The sequence below is a fragment of the Homo sapiens genome, chromosome 3, assembly GCF_000001405.40.
Source record: "Homo sapiens chromosome 3, GRCh38.p14 Primary Assembly".
In the NCBI taxonomy this organism is placed as follows: Eukaryota; Metazoa; Chordata; class Mammalia; order Primates; family Hominidae; genus Homo; species Homo sapiens.
In genome coordinates this window covers 44600104-44615259 of record NC_000003.12, presented here as the reverse complement: position 1 = coordinate 44615259, position 15156 = coordinate 44600104, and the positions used below count along the sequence as shown (strand labels likewise).

At 38.6% G+C, this 15156-nt stretch overlaps 1 protein-coding gene and 1 long non-coding RNA gene across 7 annotated transcripts in view; one reads left to right on the top strand and one right to left on the bottom strand.

The window, feature by feature from the left end:
* Positions 1 to 15156, top strand: part of ZKSCAN7-AS1 (ZKSCAN7 ZNF cluster antisense RNA 1) — a 128297-nt gene that overhangs the window by 70394 nt on the left and 42747 nt on the right. The gene's annotated exons all lie outside the window — the stretch shown is intronic.
* Positions 1 to 15156, bottom strand: part of ZNF660-ZNF197 (ZNF660-ZNF197 readthrough) — a 63508-nt gene that overhangs the window by 33212 nt on the left and 15140 nt on the right. The window lies entirely within an intron of this gene.

Below are 15156 nucleotides of genomic sequence, written 5' to 3'. Positions count from 1 at the left end.
CATCTCTCCCCTCCACTACCCTCCATAGGCTCTAATACCCACAATTCTATTTTCTACTTGCATGAGCTCTAAATTATTTTTACCTCCCACATATAAGAGAGAACATGTAGTTATTTATCTTTCTGTGCTTATTTTGCTCAACATAATGTCCTCCAGGCTCATCTATGTTGCCACAAATGATAGAATTTTATTCTTTTTATGACTGCATAGTATTTCATTGTGCATATATGCCACATTTTCTTTATCCATTTGTCTGTTGATGGACACTGGGTTGATTTTATCTCTTAGCAATTGTGAATATTATAGTTCTGTAATAAGCATGGGGAAAAAGTATCTCTTCGATATTTAGATTTCCTTCCTTTGGCTAAATATTCAGTAAAGGCATTACTGTATCATATAGTAGCCCTATTTTTAATTTTTTGAGAAACCTTCACACTGTTTTCCATAATGGCTGTACTAATTTACATTTCCACCAAAAGCATATAAAAATTCCTTTTGAGCTGGGTGCAGTGGCTCACACCTGTGATCCCAGCACTTTGGGAGGCCAAGGCAGGTGGATCACCTGAGGTCAGGAGTTTGAGACCAGCCTGGCCAACACCTGGTGAAACCCTGTCTCTACTAAAAATACAAAAAATTAGCCAGGCCTGGTGGCAGGTGCCTGTCATCCCAGCTACTCAGGAGGCTGAGGGAGGAGAATGACTTGAACCCAGGAGGCAGAGATTGCAGTGAGCTGAGATTGTGCCATTGCACTCCAGCCTGGGCGACAAGAGTGAAACTCCATCTCAAAAAAAAAAAAAAAAAGGCCGGGCACGGTGGCTCACACCTGTAATCCCAGCACTTTGGGAGGCCGAGGCAGGTGGATCACGAGGTCAGGAGATCAAGACCATCCTGGCTAACATGGTGAAACCCCGTATCTACTAAAAATACAAAAAAAAAAAAATTAGCTGGGCGTGGGTGGGTGCCTGTAGTCCCAGCTAGTTGGGAGGCTGAGGCAGGAGAATGGCATGAACCTGGGAGGTGGAGCTTGCAGTGAGCCGAGATCGCGCCACTACACTCCAGCCTGGGTCACAGAGCGAGACTCCATCTCAAAAAAAAAAAAAAAAGAAACAAATAATTACCTTGGAATGCTCTCCAGCATTTCTTATTTTTTGTCTTTTTGATAATAGCCATTCTAACTGGGGTGAGATTATATCTCATTGTGGTATTGATTTGCATTTCCCTGATGATTCATGATGTTGACCATTTTTTCATGTATTTATTGGCCATTTGCATGTCTTCTTTTGAGAAATATCTATTTAGATCCTTTGCCCACTTTTAATTGGATTTAGGTTTTTGTTGTTGAGTTGTTTGAGCTCCTGGTATATTCTGGATATTAGTCCCTTGTCAGATTAGGAATTTGCAAATATTTTCTCCCACTGTACAGATTGTCTTTCCACTCCATTGATTATTTCTTTTGCTATGTAGACGTTTTTTTAGTTTAACACTGTCCAATTTTTTTATATTTTGTTGTCGGTGCTTTTGAAGTCTTATCCATAAAATCTTTGCCTAGACCAATGTCCTAAAGCATTTCTCCTATGTTTTTCTCTGGTAGTTTTATAGTTTCAGGTCTTACATTTAAGGCTTTAATCCACGTTGAGTGTATTTTTGTATATGGGGATAGATAGGGATCTAGTTTCATTTTTCTACATATGTATATCCAGTTTTCCCAGCATCATTTATTGAAGAGGGCATCCTTTCTCCAATGTGTGTTCCTGGTTCCTTTGTTGAAAATCAGTTGGCTGTAAATACATAGATGTATTTCTGGGTCCTTTATGCTGTTCCGTTTGTCTATGTCATACTATAGCTTTGTAGTATATTTTCAAGTCAGGTACTGTAACGCCTCCAACTCTGTTTTTCCTTGATAAGTACTGGTTTGGCTATTTGGTGTCTTCTGTGGTTCCATGCAAATTTTAGGATTGTTTTCTATTTCTGTGAAGAATGTCACCAATATTTTGACAGGGACTGCATTTAACCTGTAAATTGCTTTAGGTAGTATGGGCATATTCTTCTGATCATGAGCATGGGATGTCGTTTCATTTGTTTGTGTCCTCTTTAATTTATTTCATCAATGTTTGGTAGCTTTCATTGTACAGATATTTCACTTCCTTTATTTCTAGTTTTTTTTTTTTTGGTGGGGGGCTATTGTAAATAGGATTGATTTCTTGATTTCTTTGTTACCCAGTTCATTACTGGTGTATGGAAATGCTACAGTTTTTTTCTATGTTGATTTTGTACCCTGCAACTTTACTAAATTTGTTTATCAGTTCAAAGAATATTTTAGTGGAATCTTTAGAATTTTGAATACATGTTTTCTGAAAGGACAATTTGACTTCCTCTTTTCCAACCTGAATGCCCTTTATTTCTTTCTCTTGCCCAATTACTCTGGCTAGGACTTCCAGTACTATGTTGAATAAGAAAGGTGAACATGAACATCCTTGTCTTGTTCCAGTTCTTAGAGCTCTCAGCTTTTCCCTATTCAGTTTGATGTTAGCTATGAGTTTGTCATATTTGGCCTTTATTGCACTGAAGTATGTTCCTTCTATGCCTAGTTTGTTTAGGGTTTTTATCATAAGAGGATATAGAATTTTATCAAATGCTTTATCTGCATCTGTTGAGATGATCATATGTTTTTTGTTCTTCATTCTGTTTATGTGATGTATCACATTTATTGATTTGCGTATTTTGAAACATCCTTTCATCCCTGGGTTAAATCCCACTTGATCATGGTATATTATCTTTTGGTTAGATTTTATTTGCTAGTATTTTGTTGAAGACTATTGCCCCTATGTTCATCAGGGATACTGGCCTGTAGTATTCTTTTATTATTGTGTCCTTTTCCAGTTTTACCCTGGTATCTGGGTAATGCTGGCCTTGTAGAAAGAATTAGAAAAATTCTCTCATCTTCAGTATTTTGGAATAGTTTGAAAACAGTTGCCGTTAGTTTTTTTAAAGTTTGGAGGCCAGACATGGTGGCTCATGCCTGTAATCCCAGCACTTTGGGAGGCTGAGGTGGGAGGATTGCTTCAGGGCAGGAGTTTGAGACCAGCCTGTATAATATAGAGAGACCATGTCCCTACAACAATAAAAAAAAATTAGCCGTGCATGGTGGTGCATGCCTGTAATCCTGGCTACTTGGGAGGCTGAGGCAAGAGGATCACTTGAGCCCAGGAGTTTGAGATTATAGTGATCACACCATTTCACTCCAAACTGGGCAAGAGAGCAAGATCTTTTCTCTAAAAAAATTTTTTTTTTTTAAGTTTGGTATGCTAGGTGCAAAGACACATGTCTGTAGCCCCAGCTATCCAGGAGGCTGAGGCAGGAGCATGGCTTGTGTCCAGGAGTTTGAGTCTAGCATGGGGAACATAACAGGACCCTGACTCTAAAAAAAAACAAAAGTTTGGTAGAATGCAGCAGTAAAGTTATCCAGTTCTGGGCTTTTTGTTGTTGTTGTTGTTGTTGTTATTGATTCACTCTCATTACTTATGATTGGTCTGTTCATATTTTCTACTTCTTCCTGGTTCAATCTTGGTAGGTTGTATATATCTGGAAATTTATCCATTTCCTCAAGGGTTTCTAATTTGTTGGCATATAGTTGTTTGGAATAGCCTCCATTGATCCTTTGTGCTTCCGTGGTAACAGCTGTAAAGCTGTAATGGTTCCTTTTTCATTTTTTATTTTATTTTAGTCTTCTCTCATTTCTTTGTTTAGTCTAGCTAATGATACCGAGATCACCTTTTGGTTCAATGATTCACAAGATTCAGCATAGCTTCATACTCATAGCCATGATTTGCTACATCAAAAGAATTCAAAGTAAAATCAGCACAGAGAAAAGGCTCATAGGGTGAATTCCCGAAGGTACCAGGTGTAAGTTCCAAGATTCTTTTCCCAGTGGAATTACAAAAGACATGCTTAATTCCTCCAGGAACAAATTGCTACAAGTGTAAAATGTTGTGTACTAGGAAACGGACTAGAGATTCAATTTGAGAATTTTTAGTGTGGGCTGGTCACACATGCACACTCTGCCTGGCATGTACTAAAATTCTAAACTCCCAGAAAAAAGTAGATATTCAGCATAAACCATATTGTTTGCACAAACAATTTAGGTATAGTGATCCATTCTTATCAGGGAATGGTGGAAAATCTCTCAATGTCCAGGTTCCCAGATGCTGACCAACCTTGAGAGCAGACCTTTCTAAGGATAACAGTCGCAGGCATACTAACTTCAGTATTTTAACTATACAGGGTCAGACTTTTTCCTGTGTCTTTGCATGTCTCATCATTTTTTTATTGGAAATAGAATGTTTTAGATAACATTATAGCAACTCTAGGTACTGCTCCCCTCTTTCCTAGGCTTTGTATTTTCATTTGCTTGTTTATTTATTTAGTGACTGACTAGATTAATTTAGTGAAGTCTATCCCCAACCCTACCAAATGTGAAGCCTCTAACATTGCTCCTTAGAGGGCTCAGCCTTGGGCATACACATTGTCACCCCAAAAAGAGAGTGGATTTATCGAGATTCACATTGTCTCTTTCCCTTATCAAACCCAGCTATTAAGCACCACCAATTGCCAGATGATTGTTCTGTTGTTTTCTACAATATCCTGAGGCTAAAATTGCTCCACAGACTGATCTAATTAATTTGGGGTTCCTTTGCAAGAATAGTTTTTTTTAAAAGACTTTAAATTTTAATTGTGGTAAAAAATGCAAAACATAAAATTTACCATATTAATTATTTTTAAGCCTACAGTTAAGTGGCATTAAGTATATTCACAATGCTATACAATCTCCAGAACTTTTTCATCTTGCGAAACTGAAACTCTATACCCATTAAACAACTCACTATTTCCCCATTCCCCAAGACCCTGGCAATCACCATTCTACTTTCTGTTTTTATGAGTTTCACTACTTTAGATACGTCTTAGAAGTGGAATCATAGTCTTTGTTTCGTGTGACTGGTTTATTTCACTTAGCATAATGTCTTAAGATTCGTCCATGTTGTAGTGTATGATAGAATTGCCTTCTTTTTTTTTTTTTTTTTTTTTTGAGACGGAGTCTCGCTCTATTGCCAAGCTGGAGTGCAGCAGCAGGATATCGGCTCACTGCAGCCTCCACCTCCTGGGTTCAAGCGATTCTCCTGCCTCAGCCTCCCGAGTAGCTGGGCGTGTGCCACCATGCCCAGCTAATTTTTGTATTTTTAGTAGAGATGGGGTTTCACCATGTTCGCCAGGATGGTCTCGATCTCTTGACCTCGTGATCTGCCAGCCTTGGCCTCCTAAAGTGCTGGGATTACAGGTGTGAGCCACCGTGCCTGGCCGAATTGCCTTCTTTTTTAAGGCTCAATAATATTCCATTGCATGTATATATGACATTTTGTTTATCCATGCATCTATTGATGGACATTTGGATTTCTTCCACCTCTTGCTATTGTTAATAATGCTACTATAAAAATGAATGTGCAAATATCTCTTAGAGATCCTGTTTTCAATTCTTATGAATACATACCTAGAAGTGGGGTTGCTGGATTGTATGGTAATTCTATTTTAATTTTTAATTAATTAATTAATTAATTTTTTATTGAGACAGGGTCCCACCCTGTCACCCAGGCTGAAGTGTAGTGGTGTGATCCCGGCTCACTGCAGCCTCGACCTCCCAGGCTCAATCAATACATCTGCCTCAGCCTCCTGACTAGCTGGGACTACAGGTATGCACTACCATGCCCAGTTAATTTTTTAATTTTTTATAGAGACAGGGTCTTGCCATGTTGCCCAGGCTGGTCTTGAACTCCTGGGCTCAAGCAATCCAACTGCCTCGGCCTCCCAAAGTGCTGAGATTACAGGCATGAGCCTCCATACCCAACCTGTTTTTAATTTTTTGAGAAATTGCTATTCTGTTTTATGTAGCAGCTGTGCCATTTTACATCCGCACCAACAGTGCACAAAGGTACCAATTCTGCACATTCTCATCAATGCTTATTATTTTCTTTTCTGTTGTTGTTGTTGTTTTGGTTTTGATAATTGCTATCATAATGGTGTGAGATGACCTCTCATTGTGGTTTCGATTTTTACTTCTCTAATGATTAATGATATTGAGCATTTTTTTATATGCTTGTTGGCCATTTGCGTATCATTGGAGAAATGTCTATTTAAGTCTTTTCCTCATTTTTTAAGTTTTTTGTTATTGAATTGTAGGAGTTATTTATATATTCTGGATATCAACTACTCATCAAATGTTTAATTGCAAATTTTTTCTCCCATTCCATAGGTTGTCTTTTCAGTCTGATTATGTCCTTTAGTGCACAGAAGTTTTAAATTTTGATGTAGTATAGTTTATCTATTTTTACTTTTTTTTTTTTTTCAAGACGGAGGCTTGCTCTGTTGCCCAGGTTGGAGGGCAATGGCACAATCTCAGCTCACTGCAACCTCTGCCTCCCAGGTTCAAGGGATTGTCCTTCCTCAGCCTCCTGAGTAGCTGTGAGTACAGGCACACGCCACCATGCCCAGCTAATTTTTGTGTTTTTAGTAGAGATGAGGTTTTGCCACATTGGCCAGGTGGTCTCAAACTCCTGACCTCAAGTGATCCAACCTCCTAGGCCTCCCAAAGTGCTGGGATTACAGGTGTGAGCCACCGCACCTGGATTTACTTTTATTGCCTGTGCTTTTGGTGTCATAGCCAATAATTCATTGTCAAATCCACATTTAACTTTTTAAACAACAGCCAACGTGTTTTCCACAGTTGTTACACTACTTTACATTTCTGCCTACAGTGTTTGAAAGTTCCAGTTCCTCCACATATTTGCCAACATGTGATGTGAACTATCTTATTAATTTTCATCATTCTAATTGGGGTGTAGTGGTATCTCCCTGTGGTTGTAATTTGCATTACCCTAAAAACCAGTGATGTTGAACATCTTTTCCAGTGCCTATTTGCCATCTGAATGTCTTTGTCAGTGATGTGTCCATTCAGATCTTTGCACATTATTCTACTAGGTTATTTGCTTCCTTATTGTTGGATTTTGACACTTTTGGATACAAATCCTTTATCAGATATATGCTGTATTCATATTTTTCCCAGATCGTGGCTTGTTTTGTAATTTTCCTAACAGTACTTTTCAAAAAACAGATCTTTTAGTTTTGATGACATCCGTTTATCAAATTGTTCTTTTGTGAATCATACCTTTGGCATTATATGTAAGAAATGTTTGTCTAATGCAAGATGACACAATTTCTCCAGATTTATTCTAGAATTTTCATTGTTTTAGGTTTCCTACTGAGGTATAGTATTCATTATTAATTTTTAATATATTGGGAGATATTGATCAAAGTTAATATTTTTACATAGGGATATCCAATTATTCCAATATGATTTGTTGGAAAGATACCATTTATCCACTGATTGCCTTTGAACATTTGTCGAAAATCAGTTGCTCATATATGTGTGGATCTATTTCTGAATTTTTTATTCTCTTCTATTTATCTATTTTTCTATCACTATGCCAAAACTACACTGTCTTGACTGCTGTAGTTCTACATACGTTTTAAGATCAGGTTAGCCCTCCAAATTTTAAAATATTTTTCTGATTTGTTTTGGCTACTCTAAGCTCTTTGCATTTTCATATAGAATTTAGAGACAACTTTTTAATTTTTACAAAACACACACACAACTACTAGGATTTTGATTGAGATGGATTTGAGTCTACAGTTTGTGGACAATTGACATATTAACCATACTGCATACTCTGATCCGTGAACAAAGTAGATTTCCATTTGGTTAGGTCTTCTTTAATTTCTCTCACCAAAGTTTTACAGTACTTAATATACAGATATTTTGCATTTTTGCCATATTAATTACTGTATTTCATATTTTAATGCTATTATAAATGATATTATTTAAATTTTGATTTCAAATTGTTCATTGTTAGTATATAAAAATCAAATTGATTTTTATAAAGTTATGTGTCCTGCAACCTTCCTCAACTCACTTACTAGTTCTAGTAGCTTTTAAAAGAGATTTAATTGGATTTTATACATAGCGAATTGTGTCGTCTACAAAGAAGGACAATTTTACTTTGTTCTTTCCAACCTGTATGCCATTTATTTATTTATTTACTTATTTTAACTGCCCTGGCTAGAACCTGCAGTACACTGTTGAGTAGACAAAGTGGTGAAAGCACTTTATCTTGTTCCTGATCTCAGGAGGAAAGCTCAGTCTTTCAACATTAAGTGTGATACCAACTATAAAATTTTTGTAGATACTTTTAAATCAGATTTAGGATCTCGTTTACCCCTAATTTGCTGAGGGGTTTAAAATTTCAAAATCAATGATGGATGTTAGATTTTGTCAAAAGCTTATTCTATACCATCATAGTGACCATGATTTTTCATTTTTAGCTTGTTAATATGGTGAATTACACTGATCAATTTTCAAATACAAAGCCAACATTGCATTTTTTGAAAAAATTCCTTTGGTCTGGATGTATTATCCAATTATTGGATAGTGATTTACTAAAATTTCATATTGTTGGCTTTAATTTGCTAAAATTAAATGAATTAGGATTTTTGCATTTAAGTCTGTGAAGGCTATTGGTCTGTACTTTTATTGTAACACTTTTATTGTATTGGATCTGGTTAATGCTGGCCTCACAGACTGAGTTGGAAAATATTTCCTCATACTCAATTTTCTGCAGGAGCTTGTTGTATAAAGTTAGTACTATTTCTTCCTTAAACGTCTGATAAAATTTACCAGTGAAGCCACCTAGGTCTAGATTTTTTTGAATTTTTAATTTTTGTGGGTACATAGTAAGTGTGTATATTTATGAGGTGCAGGAGATATTTTGATACAAGCATGCAATGTGTAATAATCACATTGTGGAAAATGGGGTATCCATCCCCTCAAGTATTTATTCTTTGTGTTATAAACAATCCAATTACATTCTTCTAGTCATTTTAAAATATGCAGGCTGGGCGCAGTGGCTCACGCCTGTAATCCCAGCACTTTGGGAGGCCGAGGCGGGCGGATCATGAAGTCAGGAGATGGAGACCATCCTGGCAGGTGAAACCCCGTCTCTACTAAAAAAAATACAAAAAATTAGCCGGGCATGGTGGCGGGCGCCTGTAGTCCCAGCTACTCGGGAGGCTGAGGCAGGAGAATGGCATGAACCCGGGAGGTGGAGCTTGCGGTGAGCTGAGATGGCGCCACTGCACTCCAGCCTGGGCGACAGAGCGAGACTCCGTCAAAAAAAAAAAAAAAAAAAAAGCAATTAAATTATTATTGACTTTAGTCACCCTGTTATCAAATACTAGGTGTTATTCATTCTTTCTATTTTTTAAATACCCATTAACCATCCCCACTACCCCCACCCCCCACTACCCTCCCCAGCTTCTGGTAACCATTCTTTTACTCTCTATCCCCATGAGTTCAATTGCTTTGATTTTTGGATCCCACGAATAAGAACATAAGATGTTTGTCTTTCTTTGCCTGGCTTATTTCACTTAACATAATGACCTCTGGTTCCATCCATGTTGTTGCAAATAAAGGATCTCATTCTTTTTTATAGCTGAATAATATTCCATTGGGTATAAGTACCACATATTCTTTATCCATTCATCTGCTGATGGACACTTAGGTTGCTTCCAAATCTTGGCTTTGTGAACACTGCTGCAACAAACACAGTAGTACAGATATCTCTTCAAAGTACCAATTTCCCTTGTTTTGGGCATATGCCCAAGAGTGGGATTGCTAGATCATATGGTAGCTTTATTTTTAGTTTTCGTCAGAACCTCTAAACTGTTCTCCATAGTGGTTGTACTAATTCACATTCCCACCAACAGTGTATAAGGGTTCCCTTTTCTCCACATCCTCACCAACATTTGTTATCACCTGTCTTTTGGAAAAAGGCCATTTTAACTGGACTGAGATGATATGTTATTGTAGTTTTGATTTGCATTTCTCTGATGATCAATTATGTTGGGCACCTTTTCATATGCCTTTTTGCCATTTGTATTTCTTCTTTTGAGAAATGTCTACTCAAATCTTTTGCTTATTTTTAAAATCGAATTATCAGATTTGTTTTCTATAGAGTTGTTTGAGCTTGTTATATATTCTGGTGATTAATCCCTTGTCAGATGGGTAATTTGCAAATATTTTCTCCCAATCTGTGGGTTGTTCCTTCACTTTGTTGCTGGTTTTCTTTGCTATGCAGAAGCTTTTTAACTTGATGTGATCTTGGGCCTAGATTTCTATGTCTGTGGGGGAAGTGTTTTATTTTTTATAGTTATAGCACTATTCAGCGCTATCTATTTTTTTTCTAAAGTGAGTATTGGTAGTTTGTGTCTGTCAGGGAACTGGCCATTTGATCTAAATTATCAAAGTTATTGGCATAAAGTTGTTTATAACATTCCCCCATTATCCTTTAATTGGTGTAGAATCCATAGTGATGTCACCTCTTTTAATCCCAATGTCGATACTTTGTGTCTCTTTTCCTTTTTTTTGCTGATCAGTCCTACTAGAAGCTTATGCATTTATTTATTTTCTAAAAACCACTTTTGGCTTGATTTTCTCTATTGTCTTCTTGTTTTCCATTTTACAGGTTCCCATTTTGATCTTTATTATTTCTTTTGTTCTGTTTACATTGGCATTACTTTGCTTTTTTTATTCTAGTTTCTTAAACTTTACTCTTTTCCTTTATTTTTTTTTAACACTGAGATAGGGTTTCACTATTTTGCCCAGGCTGCATTTGAACTCCTGGGCTAAAGTAATTCTCCCACCTCAGCCTCCCAAGTAGCTGGGACTGTAGGCATGCACCACCACACCCGGCTACTCTTTTGTGTGTGTGTGTGCGCACGCGTGTGTGTGTGCGTGTGTGTGTGTGTGTACATACAGTCTATGATACCATATTCTAATGTAGATATTTAGTGCTATAATTTCCCTCAGCTAATGTTTTAACAACATTCCATAATTTTTTTTGAGATGGAGACTTGCTCTATCACCCAGGTTGGAGTGCAGTGGTGTGGTTATAGCTCACTATAGCCTTGAACTCCTGGGCTCAGTGATCCTTTCATGCCAGCCTCCCAAGCAGCTAGGACTACAGGCATGCATCCCATGTCTAGCTAAATTATCTTTTTTTTTTTTTTGTAGAATCAGGGTCTCACTATGTTACCCAGGTGAGTCTTGAACTCCTGACCTCAAGCAATCTTCCTACCTTGGCCTCCCAAAGTGCTGGGATTATAGGTGTTAGCCACTATACCTGACTATAACATTTTTTTCTTTTCTTTCTTTCTTCTTTGTATTATATTGAGACAGAATTTTGTTCTGTTGCCCAGGCTGGAGTGCAGTGGTATGATTATGGCTCACTGCAGCCTCAACTTCCCGGGCTCGAGTGATCATCCCACCTCAGCCTCCGGAGTAGCTGGGACTACAGGCATGTGTCACCACGCCCAGATATATATAGTGTTTTTTTGTAGAGACGAGGTTTTGCCATGTTGCCCAGGCTGGTCTCGAACTCCTGAGCTCAAGTGATTTGCCTGCCTCAGCCTCCCAAAGTGCTGGGATTACAGGCGTGAGACACTGTGCCTGGCCAATAACTTTTTTGATCAGCTATAATTATTTGTTTTTTAATGATTGCTTTAGGATTTATAGTGTATGTCTTTAGCTTATTCGTCTGCCTTCAAGTGGTATTATACTACTTCCTGTACAGCAGTGGCATATAGCAGTGGTTCTCATTTGGGGGCAATATTGAGAGATATTTTTAATTGTCATGACGGGGTAAAAGCCATTGATGCTGCTAAACATCCTAGAATGCTAGGATAGCCCCTGCCACAAAAATTATCTGGTCCAAAATGTCAATAAGGCCAAGGTTGGGAAAAATTCATATTTCTATCAGGTGTCATTTTTCTTTTGCCTAAAAGACTTACTTTAACATTTCTTATAGTACAGGTCTGTGAGTGATCCATTATTTTAGCTTTTTAATGTCTGCAAATATGTTTTGCCTTTGTTCTTGAACTATATTTTCACTGGTCTGGAATTCTAGTTTGGCTTACTCTGTTGTCCAGGCTGGAGTGCAGTGGTGTGATCATGGCTCACTGCAGCCTTGAGCTCCTGCATTCAAGTGATCATCCCACCTCAGCCGCTGGAGTAGCTGAGATTTTTTTCTTTCAGTACTTTAAACATGCCGCTCCACTCTCTTCATGGTTGCATTGTGTCCAGTGAGAAATCTGTTGTGATCCCTGTCTTCTTCTCCATACCTAATGTCTTTGTCCTCTGGTCATTTTATTTTTGAATGTTTTGAGCAATTTAATTATAGAGTAGTTTTCTTCACATTTATTCTGTGGCTTACTGTTCTTCCCGACTGAGACAGTCCCTTCTGAGTACTCTACCTAATGCACAAAGCAATGCAGTGTTTTCAGTCCAGCTTGTGAGAACAGTCACTATTCCTGGCCATATTTCTATGCCTGACACCATTCCCTCTAATCCTTTGGGATGGTTCTTTCTTTGGCCTCAGATAAGTTTTCCTCATACGCCAATCAGTACTCTGTGGAGTATCCTAGGGGACCCTTCAAAGATCCCCAGAATTCTCTGTGCAGGTCCCTCTCCTCCAGAATTCTGTCTTGTGAACTCTATCTGCCTTGGTCTCCTTAGATTCTCAGTTGTGTCTTCAACTCAGGAACTTCATCACACAGCTACACCTGGGTCTCCCATCCCTGTGTAGCTGTCTGGTAACTCTCTCAAGACAATAAGTTAGGACATTTGTAGGGCTCATCTCATTTGTTTCCCATCTATCAGAGATCATCATATTTTGTTGTTGATGCCCAATGTCTTAAAAGCTATTATTTCATCTATTTTATTTGAGATTATTTCAAGCAGGGGTATAATTCTGGTTCCTGTAACTCTTCTATGACCAGAAATAGAAGACTGTCCTTCAGTTTTCTTCATATCTAAGTATTTTCCCTTTTTTAAATTAAGTTTTCTTCTTAACCCAGGAATTCTTTAGAAATGCATTAATTTCCAAATGTATTTTAATTTTGACTTCTATCTTAATTACATCATGTTCTGTGCAGAGGGCATTGTGCCACACTGTCCGGATTCCTCTTCAGATTTTCTCCCCGCAACCACCTCACTAGAGGGGCAGGCCAAAAGCCTTCAAATGTCAGCCTTCTCTGGGAACTATCCTCAGCTTTAATCTACCTCACCCACTTTAAGCCCAGGACAAATCCCACAATCCTCCTTGCTGTCTTCCATTGCTGCTGGCTGACTTTTTTCTAATGCATACTTTCACTGAGGGTGTAGCCCTGTAAGCATCTGGGCTTCTTGTGGAGACCTGTGCCAACTTTCCCCCTCTTGCAAGCCCAAGGACTCAAATCCTCTTCTGCATGGCTGATAAAATTCAAGTCCATTGGATACCAAATCACCAAACTGCCTCTTGGCAACCAAAGACAGCATCCACACACTTACCTTTCTAACTTCCATTTCATCTTCATTTTTGGCTCTAAGGATTTATTTCACTTTCTTGAAAATACTTTAAAAGGACGTTTAAATTTTATTCAGCATTTCTGTGTGTTTGTAGCCAAAGGGCTTTATGAATACCCAGCTTGTCATGTTGTTTTATTCTTTCTTTTTTTTTCTTGAGATGGAGTCTCACTCTATCACCCAGGCTGGAGTGCAGTGGCGCAATATCTGCTCACTGCAACCTCTGCCTCTCGGGTTCAAGCGATTCTCCTGCCTCAGGCTCCTAAGTAGCCGGGATTACAGGCGTGCGCCACCATGCCTGGCTAATTTTTGTATTTTTTTAGTAAACGGGGTTTCACCATGTTAGCCAGGCTGGTCTCAAACTCCTGACCTCAAGTGATCTGCCTGCGTTGGCCTCCCAAAGTGCTGGGATTACAGGCGTGAGCCACCGCGTCTGGCCTATTCTACTTTTTAAAAACATGCTAAATTCTGTGGTTAAACTAACTGCGAATGTGACAGCATTTTCTTTCTGACTCAGTTAACTGCTGATTTGTCATATGATTGTACAAGCTTTGGTATAAGTCTCAATAATTTTGTAATTTGTCACAAATCTTCTGTGGGAAGAGTCTTCTGTTCTTCCAAAGGAAAATGGATAATCAGTATAAAAACAGTCAACAGTCATGTAAAGAGTCAAGGCTCCTGGGCTGGACACAGTGGCTCACACCTGTAATCTCAGTACTTTGGGAGACCAAGGTGGGAGGATTGCTTGAGGCCAGGAGCTCAAGATCAGCCTGGGCAAGCCAACATAGTGAGATTCCTTCTCTACAAAAAAAAAGAAAAAGGAAAAAAGAAAAAAACCTCAAGGTTCCTAAAGGAAAATTTTATCTGATCCCCATTGCAAAGTTTTGTTTTATTCCAAGGCCCCACTGTAGATATGCTGATTTGGTGGGCCTGGGAAATTTATCTGTAGGTGTAAAATTACCTCTTGTGAATCCCAAACTTGGAATCCACTAGCCTTGGTTTCAGAGATTGGTCACAGCTTTTGTATGTCTGTAATCCATATAGTCAAGTTGTGCCGTCTGGATTTGAAATAATCAGAGAGAGGAATGGGAACTAGTCAGGTCCTGTAACTATGCTGCACAGAAAGGAGTCTGCCATCTCTTTTTAACCCTCTCAAACCTACCTTCTGGAGCAGAGAGGGACTTCAGAGAACATGGCTGGTTTTTATACAGCCATCTGAGGTCTGCACAGCAGTAGGGGTATGAAGCACGTGTGTGGCCAGAGAGAGGGTATGGCACATAGCCCTCTCAAGAAATAACAGAAGGAAAATTTCTAATGGCTAGAGAGTGCTTACTTATGTATTACTAGTGTGAAAATTACAAACTTCTTGTAGTGTTTGAATGAGAAACCAGCCAGAATCACTTCTTTATTCTAAAAACAGCCACTATGATGGTTAATATTAGGTGTCAACTTGACTGGATTCAGAGATGCCTAGATGGCTGGGGAAGCACTGTTTCTGTGAGTGTCTGTGAGGGTGATGACAGAAGAGAATGACATTTGAGTCAGTGGACTGGGAGAGGAAGACCCACCCTCAATGTCAGTAGGCATATCTAATCAGCTGCCAGCACAGCTAGAAGAAAGCAGCCGCAAGAAGGGGGATAAGAAGCTTGCTGGGT